Here is a 16,649-nt window from a genome sequence, read left to right as displayed (position 1 = left end):
TGCCAAGTTCAATAGGGTTTCTAAGTTTTGCTCCAGGCCTAAGGTGGACTTTTGAAGTTTTTTTCTAATGTCTGCAGTTGACTGAGTGATAAACTTATCCTTTAAGATTAGTTGGCCTTCAACAGAGTCAGGTGACAGAGAGGTATGCTTCCTCAATACCCCCCTTAGTCTCTCCGGAAAGGCAGTAGGATTTTCTTCCTTTACTTGTGTTAAAGTGGACATCATTGAATAATTCATAGTCTTCTTCCTAGTTTTCCTTAGTCCTTCTAGTACGCAAATTAGCAAATGTCTGCAGCACCAATCTCCATGTTCTGATTCTGTGTCCCAATGAGGGTCTACACTGCGTTGAAGGGGGGTTCTTATTAGTTGGGGTCATGGGGGCTGGGGTAGGGAGGTAGACTCTGAGGGCTTTCTGTAGGGCATAAATCACACGTTTTACATAATTACGAGTTGTCTCTTAATGAAAAAAAGTTTGTACATATGGTGCTTCACTCCATTTGCCTTTTTTTTTTTTTTTTTTTTTTTTTTTTACAAAAAAGGTCTAGCTGTAAGATGCTGTTATAATTTATACTTCCCCAGGAGGCCAGGTTTCTCCCCCTTGAAGAGGATATCATGGCCAGGTAGTACTGCAGAAGAATATGTCATTTCTTTCTTAGCATCTGAGGGTCAAATTGGTCCCAGTTCTCCAGAATACGTTAGGGGTTTTTTTGCCTTGGGGGGAATGTTTCCCCTCTGAAAAAAGAAAATAGGGATGCCAGCACCCCTAGTCATTTTCCCATGAGCATTAGTCCTAGAGTGTCCCCTATGGTCCTAATGCTTATTCTTTTCCAGGGTGTGTAACCACCCATGGACCTCTGCTTATCGGATTAGTTACACTCACCGATGTAGCAGTCCTGCACCTGTTTTCCCGCCTCTCTTGACCACAGAGAAAGGGGTCCGGGCTGCTGGATTCTAGTGGTCCTTTACCGGCATGCCCAACATTGCCTTTGTGCTCAGAGGTGAGTTCCTTTCCAGGGTGCGTAACCACCCACGGACCTCTGCTTATCGGATTAGTTATGCTGGCCAATGTAGCAGTCCTGCACCTGTTTTCCTGCCTCTTTTGACCACTAAGAAAGGTGTCTGGGCACCCTCTGGATTCTAGTGGTCCTTTACCAGCGTGCCCAACATTGCCTTTGCACTCAGGGGTGAGTCCTAGAGCTGGGCTGGGTTCCTGAGTATTTCATAACAACCCAGCCACCCCATCAAGATGCATTCCTATAAAAGCAGTTCTTATGCAAATTCATTTCAGAGAGGGTGTAGGTAACTTTTTGAGTCAGGATTGAGATAGTCTTTTTGATTCTGTAAGTACTTTAAGGCTTGGCTGAGTGCAAACAGCTCGCACATTTGAGGAGACCAGTTATTAGGCAAATTTTCTAACTCTGCTTCCACAAGAGTCTCCTATCAATTACTGATTACCCATTGTGGTTTTTTCCTCAATCACCTAGGAGGAACCATCTAACCTCCTGTCCTGAAGGGAGTTCCTCCTAGCTCTGGTTGGACCTTTGTATGGTAATTAAGTCTTAAATCCCCGGTTAGGAAATCTGCTGGGTTAAGGGAATTATCAGTGGTTGGAGTTACATTACCCTTTTCTAACAGAATAGCCCAATACTTTAAGGTTTTTGAGTTAGTAAGCTACCTTTTTGCTTTTTTTTTTTTGACTTGGAATAACTCTGAACTGGTGAGGTGTGCTCACAACCAGGTTTCCTCTAAAAGTTACTTTTCTACTTTTAGTAAAGCAGTTGTCACTACAGACTGAATGCATTTGGCCCATCCATGGGTTACTGGGTTCAGGATTTGCTACACCCTTATTTACACTGACAACAAAGTGGCAATTATCAATTACAAGTTTTAAATTTACCCTGGCTTTTAAAGGAATACGCACACTTTTTTTTTTTTTAACTATTTCTATCTTTTCCTTTCTTTTTCTCCTTGACTCCCTCTTTGTCTCTCTCTCCATCTCTGTCTCTCTGTCTTTCTTAGCCATTACAAACTTGGGGCCCTGGCAAGGGTGGTGGGGAATGGATCCCACGTAACTGCCCATGTCGAGAGCCGTATACCTAAATCGGGAGGGATACCAGGGGTAAGACTCCCTGGGTTACAGCCTATGTGCCTAAGGACGCAGTGTAGAGCTTCCTTAGATCCCTTTGCAGATACAACTTGCTAGAGGAAATGAAAGTCTGAACCATTAGTACCTAGGAGGCAGGGATCAGAGGAAGCAGATTCAGAGGTAAGGAGAATTTTGGGGCTACACTTTCAAGAAAGTCGTGGTCAGGACCCAGGAGGTATGGGTCAGGAGGAAAGGTAGGGGCGCACGCATGGGCGACTGTTGAGTAGAGACTTCTGGCTGCGCCACGATCTTAACCGGCTACTGCAGGGAGTTCAGGACAACAGCTTTCTGCCTCTAGCTGGCCCTCAGCTTCCCCAAGAAAATCAAAGGTGGAAGCTGGCTCCAGGCAGACCAATGTCCCCGGTAGAAGGGTTGGGGGTTGTTAGGAAGCCCTTCCCCAGATAGCCTCACACCGAGTCTTTAGTCCGGCGGCCATGCTTATCATTTTTAACTGGCCGACAAGTGCCCGGTGTTTTCCTCCAGTTCTAAGGAAGGATAGGACAGAATAGCAAGCGAAAGTGGTCCAATATTACTCACCACTTGGGATGTCCCTTCGTGGTCGCCAAAATGTTACCAGGGGTCCTTGCTCCCAGAGCTCCCAAGATGGTGGTTGGCCACTTCCAAAATGGCGGTGGGCCACTTCCAAGATGGTGGCAAGCCTCGTGTTCTCTGACCTGGGGTTCTTGGCCTCACGGATTCCAAGGAATGGAATCTTGGGCCATGCAGTGCTTGTTATAGCTCTATTAGAAGTTGTGGGTCATGGAAGAGAACCATGGAACCCAGTGACTAGTGTTCAGCTCGATTAGGACGAACCCAGGCACTTAGCCATGCAGGAACATTGGCAAGCCCTTAGCCCAATCGGGAGTGGCAACGGGCGCCTCACTGGATCAGGAGCACAGCGGACACCCTGCTGGATGCGGAGGGATGGAGGTCAGTGGTGGGTCTGCCATGGTGGCAAAACAGCAGTGGTGGACAGCGAGCGAAAGCTCAGCTCAAGCCGTAACAAACATGGATCATAAGAGTGCAGTTGCAAGATTTAATAGAGTGAAATAGAGTGAAAACAGAGCTCCCGTACAAGGGGAGAGGACCCAAAGGGGGTTTCTCTTATTTAAAATTTTCAAGAATTATCTTCTACAAATTTCTCTTGGTAGCCATAACCTCCAAGTTTGGATTAGCTATTTGACCATTCTACTTCTATAATATTCTGTGCTGATCTTTATCATTACATTTTCCAGAAGTGTAGTACAATCATCTTTCTATTATTGTTTCCCTCATTCTGTTTAGACTGATGGAATCTCAAGGTTATACACTTCATTTTACTTCCCTTATATTCAAAGTGCCTAGAATAAAGTTTGGCACGTGACAAGTACCCAATAAATGCTTATAGAATGAAGAAATGAATACACGAGTGTTTAAAGTGCCAGTTAACCACTTGGGAAATCAATTTCTTCACATCTTTATGAATTCCTCTTAACTAGAACACATTAAAAAGAGTGACATTTAGATATCTGGAACAAGGCAATAGAATGTACTGATTTCTAATTTATAGAACAGCCTCCTACTATAACATAAGGCAGCAATTATATTTAAGTACGTATAATAACGTAGAATGACATCAATAATCTACATTTGTACAATAAATTTAATTTTTTTCTAATATACTAGATCATCAGCCAGAATTTTAATGCTTACTTTGGATAAAATTGTTAATCTACCTAAAATTAACTACCTGCTTAATTACCTAAAAGATCTGAAACTTTTCCTTGACTTTAAATCAATTTCTATTGGAATATATTGTGTTGATTTCAGAAAATGGTTTAGTTTTTTGTTTATTTTTGGTAAAGCAAAGAAAACAAACAGAAACTAATTGTGTAGAAATACAAGATTAAATGTGCTCCTAGTTCAGAAGTTTCTGAGCCACTCCCCCAAAATTGTGCTATTCAAGGTTAAATTATTTATAAAGAAGAGAATTATTGCAAGTAATTTTTAAAGGTGGAAATTAGATGTAACATGTACTGTGTTAATTACATCTAAAAATATTCCAAGGATTTTTCTTTTAACACATAAACATCTGTTGGCATATGCATAGATTCTCTTGGATTCCACAGTAAATTAAATGTTTTCCTTGAAAAGGGTCTAGAATAATGCAATAGACTACTAAGGTAATTTTTTAAAAAATGTTAATATCTGCCAGCAAATTGCTTTGGTATTTATCAATGCTTTAGCATTTGTATTTTTTGTCTCGACATCAATATTTATTCTTATGACCTCTAAATGAAAGATACAGACTATCAATAAAAAATTATTTAAAATCTAACTTTAATATCGACCATCCACACACTGACCAAAATTATTTTATGGTGCTAATGCCTGTAGACCAGATTCTTTCAAAGAGTTATATGGCATTAACATAACTATAACTATATAATTATCTGTCTTCTCAATTGCTGTATATTGAAAAGTAGTTTACTAAGAAACCATCTATAATGTCAGAGCAATAGATTATGTTGCAGTCAATTGTCATAACATATAATATAGTTGTTCTTCAAACAACTCTTATTTACTATTGCCAGGCACTGTGCTAAACAGTAAAGGAAGATAAATAATTAGAATGTGATCCTTGCTCAAAGAAACTCAGTTTTGCAGACCAATAGATTTAGAAGAAATAATTTTGAAGAATATTAATTTTAATTCAGCCAATACAGCCTAAGCATTTAGAGCAATTACAATAATAAAGGTAACCGTATAATAGTGGGAGAAAGAAAGAAGCACAAAAATCTATACTACCATTTATTTTTAGAATGTAAAAATATTTCAAAAGTTTATCTTTAATCAAATATGTAACAAAAATGATCGATTGTACTGTGTATCAGTTTGGTGGGAATAACCTTACTATTTGTGAGGCAGGCATACTTAAATGTAAGTGAAATAGACATATCTGTGTAGTGCTATTTGACAAACCCCTGTCCTCTTTGTTGGACCCCCAAATTCCTGAGTTTCAGCCTTAAAGATATATTCCCCTAGGACAAACATTGCTACTTCAGCTGAACTTTTGTAAACTACATACACAAAAGGGAGAAGGAGAGAAGGAGCATTACAAATTTGTCTTCCAATATTTTTTTCTGTTTTATTGAGATGTAAATGATTTTCCTTCGTTGTTGAATATAGAGGTTGGCCGTACTCCCTGAGAGTAGTTTATTAATGGTAAAAGTAGGAATAGACTACCAGTTCTGTATGAATTGATTATCCTACCTCATGGAGAAGGCACAGTATCTTTGTACCAATTGTTGGGTTTCAATGTTAAGAAATTGTTGATTTAGACAACATATTGAAGCTCTGATATAAATTTTTAGGCTCTTACTACCTAAGCTGGCATCATGCATCTAAATGTGGGGAAATTGTTTATTTCTTCCTTTCTTGTATTTACATGGAAATATTTGAGAAAACTTTGGAAAAGCTGAATTGGAGTTTAACAGGCAGAAGTCATTTTGAACTGGAGGTAATTGATTTGATTTTGCACACTAACAATTTTACTTGTTATTCAGTTTATCCATATCCTTATGCCTTTTTTCTGCAATTGATAGAGATGCTGAAATTTCCTATTGATTGTTGATAAGTCTATTTCAATTTTATTTCTGTTCATTTTATGAAGCTATCTTTTTAAGTACATGAAATTTTAAATTATTGTATTTTCTTGAGGGATTTAATCTTCTATCATTATGTAGCATCCCTGTTTATCTCTGGTAATGCTTCCTTGTTATAGGCTACATTTTATAGTATAGTTACACCAGATTTTTAGAGGTCAGTTTTTCTATAATATATCTTTTCTATCTTTTCACTTTCAATTTTTTTGTTTTTGCTTGTAAGAAACATAGAGTGGATAGCTTTAAAATTAATATGACAATTTTTTCTTTTAATTATATGTTCCATTTACATTTAATGCAGTTACTGATCTATTTTAATTTATATCTACCATCTTGCTATTTTTTACCACATATCTTTTCTGTCTTGCCATCTATAGAAATAATCAACTTTCCATTTTAGCCTAATTTGTTATTTATATTTTTTACTATACATTTAGTGAATATACAAAGAATACCAGTATCATCCTTGACTTATCACAGTCTAATAAAAAATTAGTACTAGTTTATAACATACTTTGCAAACAATGCTAAGACCTTAATGCTTCTATTTTATTTATGAATTCTCACCTTTTGAGTTACTGTAGTCAGGCATTTTAATTTTATATATACCTGAAAATACATATGACATTATCATGCTTGGGTTTTAAAAAATCTTAATACTTACTTTTGCCCATATTTTTGTATTTCTGTTGTCCATTATGTACTTTCTATATTTCTGTGATGCTACCTGGGGTCACTTTCTATTGTCTGAAATGCTCCCTTTAGTATTTTATTTTAATGCAGCTTTCCTAGTGACAAATTCTCTTAGTTATTTGCCTAGAAATGTTATTAATTTGCCCTCTTTTACAAAACACTATGTTTGCTTAGTATAAAATTTTGGGTTGACAGCTACATTTTCAGCAATTTAAAGATGCCATTCCATTGCATTGTAGCTTCCATTATTTATGTTGACAAGTGAACCATAAGTCTATTGTGGCTTAAAGTCTTTTTATTTTACCTGCTTATAACTGTTGATTCTGTAAATTTGAGAAAAATCTTAGCCATCATCTATTCAAGTAATACTTCTACATCATTCTTCACTCTCTTCCTTGAAGATATCCAGTTATATGCATTTTGACATGTATTTCCTGTGCCATTGTGTCTTATATTCTTTTCTGTTTATTTCTCTCTGCATGCATCAATCTAGTTATTTTCTATAACTCCACAATCTAAATAAGCACTGTCCAATAGAAATACAATGCAAGCAACATATGAGTTCTCTATTAGCTACATTCTAAAAAGTAAAAAGGAAATATTAATTTTAACCATATATTTTATTTAACTCAAAGTGGTACAATTTTAATATGTAATCAATATTAAGATGTTAATGAGGTAGTTTACTTCTTAACTTAGTTTTTGAACTCCTATCTGTATTTTACACTGACAGCACATCTTATTTTATAATAGCCATTTTCCAAATGCTCAGGAGTCTAGTGTTTACCATTTTCACAGTAATCTCATTAAGTATTCTCTGCTATTTAATTCTTACTTCCAATAATTATATTGTCATATATGTAATTTCTATTTGATTATTTTAAAAGTCTTTCAAATTCCTAAAAAAAATCCATCTCACCATCTATTTTCTTAAATATAATAATCACAGCTACTTAAAAATGCTTATCTGATAACTTACAAAGATCACCTGTATATCTGTTTCTATTATGCATTTTGTTTCCTTTGGTTCATCTTCTTTGTATGCCTGGTGACTTTTTACTGATTTTCAGATGATGTATATGAGAATTGTAGAAATTTTCTCTGAAGTACATTTCCCTTATCCTCTGTAAGGTGGCTAGAACAGGAGGATCTCTTCTCAATGTCATCAGGTTTGGGGTTGCAGTTCATTTTCAGTTTTAAAGATGCTGAAGATGTTGGGTTTATCTGCTACTTCTAATGTGTAGTCTTCTGGGAATTGGAAGAGAGAATGGCTGGGATATTTACCAGGATCTTCAACTTTGGTAGGGCCAGAGCTCCAGCTTTTTCTTCTTGGCACTGTAAGTCTTCCAAGAGTTCTTCTGAGTTTTCTGACTATTTCTTCATAGCTTTACATACTATTGGCCTGTACAGTTTAATAATTTACAGAAATATTGAAGAAACAACTCAGAAAGTTAGGCTCACTTTTACATGCTCCCTTTCTCTCCAAAGTCTTAGTTCTAGTGGCCAACACTAATTTCTATCTCCTTTGTCCCTAATCAGTAAAATCACAGAAGTCTCTGCTATTTCCTCTGTCTTGTATTGGGTTTCCTCTCCCCAACTTTTTAGACTGTCACGATTTATAACTTAAGACATAACCAGTGACAAGGAGACATTGGGCTCACATCAGTGAAATTACCTTCTTACTGAATTCATGGCCTTTTAATTTCTGAATGCCTTTGAAACTCTCCAGGCTGTTCACACAATTGTTGCTGTTGTTTTTCAGTTGTTCTTAATGTGAGTGCTGGTTTGTTACAAACTACTCTCTTATAGCTGAAAGCAGATGTTCAAAAAATACATTTTTCACTTTATATTGATTCATGTCTTGGGAATTTCAACTAAGTGGATATTTTTGTAAATCATAAGAGTAAGCTTTTTGCTGTTTTGATTAAATTGTATTATAATTTCTAATATTATTGTATTGTGTTCAGAGAATGTGACTATTACAAATCTTACATCAGGGAATTATCAAGTCTTGAAAAATAAAGCCTTTCCATCTTCAGAAAAGGTAAGGAAACAATTTGGTGTTGGAAAATATAAATTTCAGGTGTAGTGAGAGATACTTGAGTTCTCACGGGATGGCTTTTATTTTCTGCAGAAAATGTGAAGCAATAATATTCTCTACAAGTTATGGCAGTGTGTTATTCTATTGCTCTGCAGCAAATTGTCACAAGCCACTTAAAACATCACACATGTAATACGTCAAAGTTTCTCTGAGGCAGGAGTCTGGGCATGGCTTAGCTGGGCCCTCTACTTAAGAACTCACTAGGCTGAAAGCAAGGTGTCAGTCAAGACTGTGTTCTCATATGGAGACTTGCCTGGGAGGGCTCTTCTTCTAATTTCATTCAAGTAGCTAGTAAGTTAATTTCATTACATTTTTAGAGCTCATCAATAGTGATGTGAGCAGCAATAATATTCTCTACAAGTTATGGCAGTGTATTATTCTATTGCTCTGCAGCAAATTATCACAAGCCATTTAAAACATCACACATATATTATGTCAAAGTTTCTCTCAGGCAGGAGTCTGGGCAAAGCTTATCTGGGCCCTCTACTTAAGAACTCACTAGGCTAAAAGCAAGGTATCAGTCAGACTGTGTTCTCATATGGAGACTTGCCTGGGATGGCTCTTCTAATTTCATTCAAGTAGCTAGTAAATTAATGTCATTATATTTGTAGAGCTCATCAATAGTTGCATCTTCTTCAAGGCAAGCAGGAAAATTTCTCTGACCTATACACTCTCATTTAATGGGCTCACCTGATTAAGTCAGACTCACTCGGGATAATTGCCCTCTTTCATTAACTTACAGTCAGCTGATTAGGGACTTGAATTACATTTGAAAAAAAACCCTCATCCTGAGCATATCCTACTGATTAGAAAAAATTACAGATCCTACTCACACTCAAAGGGATGCAATTATACAAGTATGTAGGTCATGAGGCCATCTTAGTAGTATTCTGATTATGACATGCAGGAGTTTTGAAAAGGGAAAGTTTTTGAATCAGTCACACTGAAGAATGTTAAAGAAAATTAACTATTTAGTATAATTTGAAGGCATTAGTTATAGCTTCATCTAAAGAAAACAAACACCCACTTATATGGTCATTGAAATGGGTTTTCTGGAAATGGTGCAAATTCACACATGAAGAGATGGGAAGGAATTTTGTCCTTTCACTTGAATTTAAATAAGCTTTTGACTTACTTGTAACCAATAGAATTTGGCAGAAGATATTGTGTAACTTCCAAGACTAGGTCAGATTAGATTATATAGATTCTGCTTTATTTCCAGAACATTCATTTTTGGAGTCCTGATCCCCTATGTAAAAAAAAAATCTAATTTCTCAGAATGTTCTATGCTATGAGGAAGCTGATATGGTTTGACTGTGTCCCCACCCAAATCTCATCTTGAATTGTAGCTCCCAGAATTCCCACATGTTGTGGGAGGGACCCGGTGGGAGATAATTGAATCATGGGGCAGTTTCCCCATACTATTCTTGTGGTACTGATTAAGTCTCATGAGACCTGATGGTTTCATATGGGATTTCTCCTTTCACTTGGCTCTCACTCTCTCTCATCTGCCACCATATAAGACATGTCTTTCACCTTCAACCATGATTGTAAGGTCTGCCCAGCCACAGTTCCACTTACAGTGAGTCCATTAAACCTTTTTCTTTATAAATTACTGAGTCTCAGGTATGTCTTTATCAGCAGTATGAAAACAGCCTAATACAGTAAATTGGTACCAGTAGAATGGGGCACTGCTGTAAAGATACCCGAAAATGTGGAAGTGACATTGGAACTGGGTAACACACAGAGGCTGGAACAGTTTGGAGGGCTCAGAAGAAGACAGGAAAATGTGGGAAAGTTTGGAGCTTCCAAGAAACTTGTTGTTGAATGGCTTTGAAAATGCTGATAATTATATGGACAATAAAATCCAGGCTGAGGTGGTCTCAGAGAGAGATGAGGAACTTATTGGGAACTGGACTAAAAGTGACTCCTGTTATGCTTTAGCAAAGACACTGGTGGCATTTCGCTTCTGCCCTAGAGATTTGTGGAACTTTGAACTTGAGGGAGATGATTTAGGGTATCTGGCAGAAGAAATTTCTAAGCAGCAAAACATTCAAAAGATGACTTGGGTGTTGTTAAAGATATTTGGTTTTACAAGAGAAACAGAGCATATAAGTTTGGAAAATTTGCAGCTTGATGATTTGATAGAAAAACCCATTTTCTGAGGAGAAATTCAAGCTAGCTGCAGAAATTTGCGTAAGTAGGGAGGAGCCAAATGTTACTCGCCAAGACAATGGGGAAAGTGTCTCCAGGGCATGTCAGAGACCTTTGGGGCAGCCCCCCCATTACAGGCTTGGAGGCCTAGGAGGAAGAAATGGTTTCATGGGCTGGGCCTAGGCACCCCTGCTGTGTGAAGCCCAGGGACTTGGTGCCCTGTGTCCCAGCCCCTCGACCCATGGCTTAAAGGGGACAAGGTACAGCTCAGGCTGTGGCTTCAGGAGGTGCAAGTCCCAAGCCTTGGCAGCTTCAGCGTGGTATTCATGGGTGCACAGAAGTCAAAAATTTGGTTTGGGAACATCCACCTACATGTCAGAGGATGTATGGAAATGCCTAGATGTGGAGGCAGAAGTTTGCTGCAGGGGTGGAGCCCTCATGGATAACCTCTGCTAGGACCATGCAGAAGGGAAATGTGGGGTTGAAGGCCCACACAGAGTCCAGACTGGGGCACTGCCTAATGGAGCTATGAGAAGAGGGCCACCATCCTCCAGATCCCAGAATGGTGGATCCCCTGACGGCTTTCACAGTGTGCCTGGAAAAGCCACAGAAACTCAATGTCAGCCCATGAAAGCAGCCAGGAGGGAGACTTTACCCTGCAAAACCACAGGGATGAAGCTCCCCAAGACCATTGGAACCCACCTTTTACATCAGCATGACCTGAATGTGAGACATGGAGTCAAAGGAGATCATTTTGGAGCTTTAAGATTTGACTGCCCCACTGGATTTTGGACTTGCATGCAGCCTTTAGCCCCTTTGTTTTAGCCAATTTCTTTCTTTTGGAATGGGTATATTTACCCAATGCCTGTACCCCCATTGTATCTAGGAAGTAACTAACTTCGTTTTAATTTTCAGGCTCATAGGTGGAAGGGACTTGCCTCGTCTCAGATGAGACTTTGGATTGCAGACCTTTGAGTTAATACTGAGATGAGTTAAGACTTTGAGGGACTGTTGGGAAGGCATAATTGGTTTTGAAATGTGAGGGCATGAAGTCTGGGAGGGGCCATGGGCAGAATGAACTCTCATCTCGAATTGTAGCTCCCATAATTCCCACGTGTTGTGGGATAGACCTGATGAGAGATAATTTAATCATGGGTTGGTTTTGTAACACCTAAGGTTCTTGCTTATCCACACCAAAGAATTGTTTGTGGTGGCTGACAGTGCCGAGTGATAGAGACACGGACCAGGAGAAAAAGCTCTAGGCTTTATTGAGCAGAGTGAAAGTACAAAGTTTCCACAGTGTGGAAGGGGTCCCAAACGGGTAGCCAGAGTTAGATTATGGGATTGCCTTTTAAACTCTTTAAGGCAGGAAATATGTGTGGCAAGAAGATGTTACCAGAGCAAGAAACAAAGGCAATTAACCAGTTGTGACATGTCTTAGATCTTGAGGAAAACTGGAATTGCAGCTTAGGTTTTATCTACTTTATGACATTGCAACAGCATGGCAAAAGAGACAGGATCTCACAGGACTTTACAAAGTATGTTCACAAGGAATTGGAATTGGGAGGATAGATAAGGTCTGCTGGTCACAGAAAAATGGCAGTTAACATTCCTTTTAACTTTAGTTTTGGTGGAGAGGAAGGGAGAGAGGGAGAGAAAGACACAGGGAAACTTACAGCAAAATTTTTGTTGTTTATAGCTTTCTTAGCGAAGAAAATACATGCATAAATCCTGGTGCTAAGAATATTTTAAGCATATATCTTTAATATTATTCATCCAGGGCCGAAGTAAGTCCTGATGCAGGAAATGAGTGAGTTTCACTGCTTTCTGAGCCCCTACTCGACCCAGGAATCCCAGTTGGCATCTCCTCTAGTTTCCCTCATATCATTGTCATGGTAGGGAATAAGTCTCATGAGATCTGATGGTTTTATAAGGAGTTTCCCCTTTTATGTGGCTCTCTCTCTTTGCCGGCCACAATATTAGACATCCCTTTGTTCTCCTTTGCTCTTCTGCCATGATTGTGAGGCCACCCAAGCCATGTGGAACTTTTATTTATAAATTACCCAGTCTCGGGTATGTCTTTATCAGCAACATGAATATGGACTAACACAAAAGCCCAAATTACATGATGAAACCATGCATAGGTGCACTGGATGCCAGTGCCAGCCAAGGTCCCAGTCAATAGCCAGCATTAGTCACCAAATATCTGAGTGAAGATATCTTCAGATGATTCCAGTGCCCAGCAGCCAAATCACCCCTTAGCTGTCAAGTCTTTCCTGCTATGACTCTATCTATTAAGAAACAGAGACAAACTATCCCTGCTGGGCTCTGTATAAGTGTGTGATCCAGGAATTTATGAACACAATAAAATAGTGTCATTAAACTCCTGAACTGGCATAACCAGATATGCAGCAATAGTAACCTGAATAGGCATCAATTTGAAGATAGCTTGATTTTCTTCACACTATTCAGGAAGCTTTATCTAGTCAATACTGAATTGCCCAACATGGAGACTTATCTTTAGAAAAAGCAAGGAAGAATTTGTGGGGAAAATCATAATTTTTAGACGTTTTGCATTTGTTATTTAAAATTGTACTTTTTTAGTTTTATACGGTACAGTATGAGAGGAAGCATTAGTATTTCAACTTTAGTACCTCTAAAGACCTTAATCCAATTGAGAGTATATGAGGTATGAACCCCAAAAATCTGAGACAGGTCTCAGTCAATTTAGGAAGTTTATTTTGCCAAAGTTAAGTTTGCACGCCCATGACACAGCCTCAGGAGGTCCAAATGACATGTACCTAAGGTGGTCAGAGCACAGCTTGGTTTTATTCCTTTTACAGAGACATGAGACATCAATCAACATATGTAACATGAACATTGGTTCTATTCTGAAAGGTGGAACATCTAGAAGCAAAGGTAGGATAACTGGAAGTGGGAGGGGACTCCCAGGTCATAGGTAGATAAGAGACAAAAGGTTGCATTCTTTTGAGTTTCTGATTAGCCTTTCCAAAGGAGGCAATCAAATACGCATTTATCTCAGTGAGCGGAGGGTTGATGTTGAACAGAATGGGAGGGGCAAGTTTGCCTTAAGCAGTTCCCAGCTTGACTTTGCCCTTTAGCTTAGTGATCTGAGGTCCCCAAGACTTATTTTCCTTTTATAGAGGTAAGATGACAATGAGTAAATGTGTTGCATGTACAGGCAGTGGATGAACATGGAGTTGGCGATTTGAGCAAATGAATGACTGAAGTGATTGACATGGGAATCTAGGCTGAGCAATGATCTACTGACTTGGTCCAATGTGGTAGTTACTAGGTGGTGATAATGAGGATGGGTGGAAGACAGAAGACTTAGAGATCACAGTCCTCAAAGGAACAGTATTTCCAAAAGAGTAAAATAACAATAGCCTGGAAATAGCACTATGCTGTTAGGAAAAGGCAGCTCCACTTCCTTAGCCTGGTTTTCCTGGGGTGTCAAAGAAATGAGCAGCATCTGTTTGAATTAGATCCAATAGAAATAGTGTCCTTACAAGACAGCAAATTTTCAGTAAAGGACAAGAAGTAGCATCAGTAGTTAACATGGGGTCCAGAGGATACAATGGAAAGTTTGGAAAATAAGAGAATAGTGAGAGTTTGAGCCAAAGGAGAAGCAGCTTGAATATTATGGTGATAAGAATGTATCACACAAGAAAATCAGTTACAATATGGTGAGTTCAATAGACAGTTGCCAAAATAATCAACATCAGCAAATCAGTGGTGAGTGGTGATGACTGAGGACTTCCAGGAAGAGAAAGTCATGGTCTGGATTACTGGTAGTTGCAAGAAGTTCTAGAATAAGAATGGAAACACCACAAGGTAAATGTAGTGCCAGGGCTCTGACTGCATGTGAGAATAACATTTGCCTTAGTTGAAAGGTGAGAATTTAGGCTTCTTAAATAAATCTTCGTTACTAATTATATCTTTTATTAATAAAAGATGGCTATCTTTGTCTTGAGAACTTTTGCTTTGAATCCTGTTATTAATATCATCATCCTTCTCATCTATTGCTAGATTTGAAATAATAATGCAAAATTTTTATATTTCATGTTCCTAAAAGATTAATATTGGCATGTCTCATATAAATAAAAAATAACTTTAATCCAATTAGAGAGTCTTTTAAGATTAATATCATTTTCATTTACCTTTTGAAATAAAATACTTAGTTTTCATTTATGCCATCTTGTTCTCTCGTGCGTATCTGTTTACACATTCTTACTATTTTCTTAGTGATTTTCTCCTTGTTGTCTCCTCTGATGCTTTGGAAGATATACATCTTGTCTTACAACTACCAAAATTTGATTTAAATATATCTAAAAGTAAAATCTAAATAATAATTCTTATAAAATAAGTTAATATATGAAAAGAACATAGAACAATGACTATCAAATAGCATTACATATAAATACTAAATAAATATTTTTCATTTTTTACAAAAAAATTGTATGGTTTTTATTTTCTTGAATTTTGATTTTTTTTTCTTTCTAATATTTATTTTAGGTACAAGGGGTACATGTGCAGGTTTGTTACATGGGTAAATTGCATATTGCAAGAGTTTGCTATACAGATAATTCTGTCACTCAGGTAATCAGCATACTACCTAATAGGTAGTTTTTTAGTCCTCACTCTGCCACTACTCCCTCAAGTAGGCTCCAGTGTCTATTTTTCCCTTCTTTGTGTCCATGTGTACTCGATGTTTAGTTCCCACTTACAAGTGAGAACATGTGGTATTTAGTTTTCTGTTCCTGCATTAATTCATTTAGCATAATCGTCTCTAGCTCCATCCATGTTTCTGCAAAGGACATGATTTTGTCTTTTTCATAGCTGTATAGTATTCCGTGATGTATATGTACCACATTTTATTTATCCAGTCCACCCATGATGGGCATCTAGGTAGATTCTGTGTCTTTGCTATTGTGAATAGTGCAGTGATGAACATACAAGTGCAAGTGTTTTTATGGTATAATAATTTATATTTCTTTGGGTATATACTCAGTAACGGAATTGTTGGGTCAAATGGTAGTTCTGTTTTAAGTTCTTAGAGATATCTTCAAAGAGCTTTTCACAGTGGCTGAACTAACTTAAATTTCCATTAGTGGTGAACAAGCATTACCTTTTCTCTGCAACCACACTGGCATCTTTCTTTTTTTTTTTTTTTTGACTTTTTGTTAATAGCCATTCTGACTGGTGTGAGATGATATCTCATTGTGGTTTTGATTTGCATTTTCTTAATGATTAGTGATATTGAACATTATTTTTATATGTTCATTGGCTTCATGCATGTCTTCTTTTGAGAAGTATGTGTTCGTGTCTTTTGCCCATTTTTTAATGGGCTTGTTTGTTGTTTACTGATTTTGTTAATTAAATTCCCTATAGATTTTGCATATTACTGGGATTCTGGATCTTTGTTGAATGCATCATTTGCAAATATTTTCTCCCGTTCTGTAGGTTGTCTATTTACTCTGATACCTTCTTTTGCTGTGCAGAAACCCTTTAGTTTAATTAGGTCCCATTTGTCAATTTTTATTTTTGTTGCAATTGCTTTTGGAGTCTTCATCATGAAATCTTTGCCAGGGCCTATGACCAGAATGGTATTTTGTAGGTTTTCTTCTATGGCTTTTATAGTTTAGGTCTTACATTCAAGTCTTTAATCCATCTTGAGTTGATTTTTGTATACGGTGAAAGGAAGGGGTCCAGTGTAAATCTTTTGCGTATGGCTAGCCAGTTATCTCAGCACCATTTATTGAATAGGCCGTACTTTTCCTGTTGCTTGCTATTGTTGGCTTTGTTGATGATCAGATAGTTGCAGGTGTGTGACTGACTTTTGGGTTCTCTAATTTGTTCCATTGTTCTACGTGTCTGTTTTTGCACTAGT

At 37.7% G+C, this 16,649-nt stretch overlaps 1 annotated feature.

The window, feature by feature from the left end:
• Positions 13,494 to 14,080: an enhancer, noted in NCBI's record as "NANOG hESC enhancer chr3:191365738-191366324 (GRCh37/hg19 assembly coordinates)". NCBI's record gives its function as "activates a minimal SCP1, AML or CMV promoter by ChIP-STARR-seq in primed H9 embryonic stem cells {active_cell/tissue: H9 hESC(primed)}" and the evidence as "EXISTENCE:reporter gene assay evidence [ECO:0000049][PMID:30033119]".

Source organism: Homo sapiens, chromosome 3, assembly GCF_000001405.40.
Source record: "Homo sapiens chromosome 3, GRCh38.p14 Primary Assembly".
NCBI lineage: Eukaryota > Metazoa > Chordata > Mammalia > Primates > Hominidae > Homo > Homo sapiens.
The sequence above is the reverse complement of the archived record's forward strand: the minus strand, read 5'-3'. Positions and strand labels throughout refer to the sequence as shown.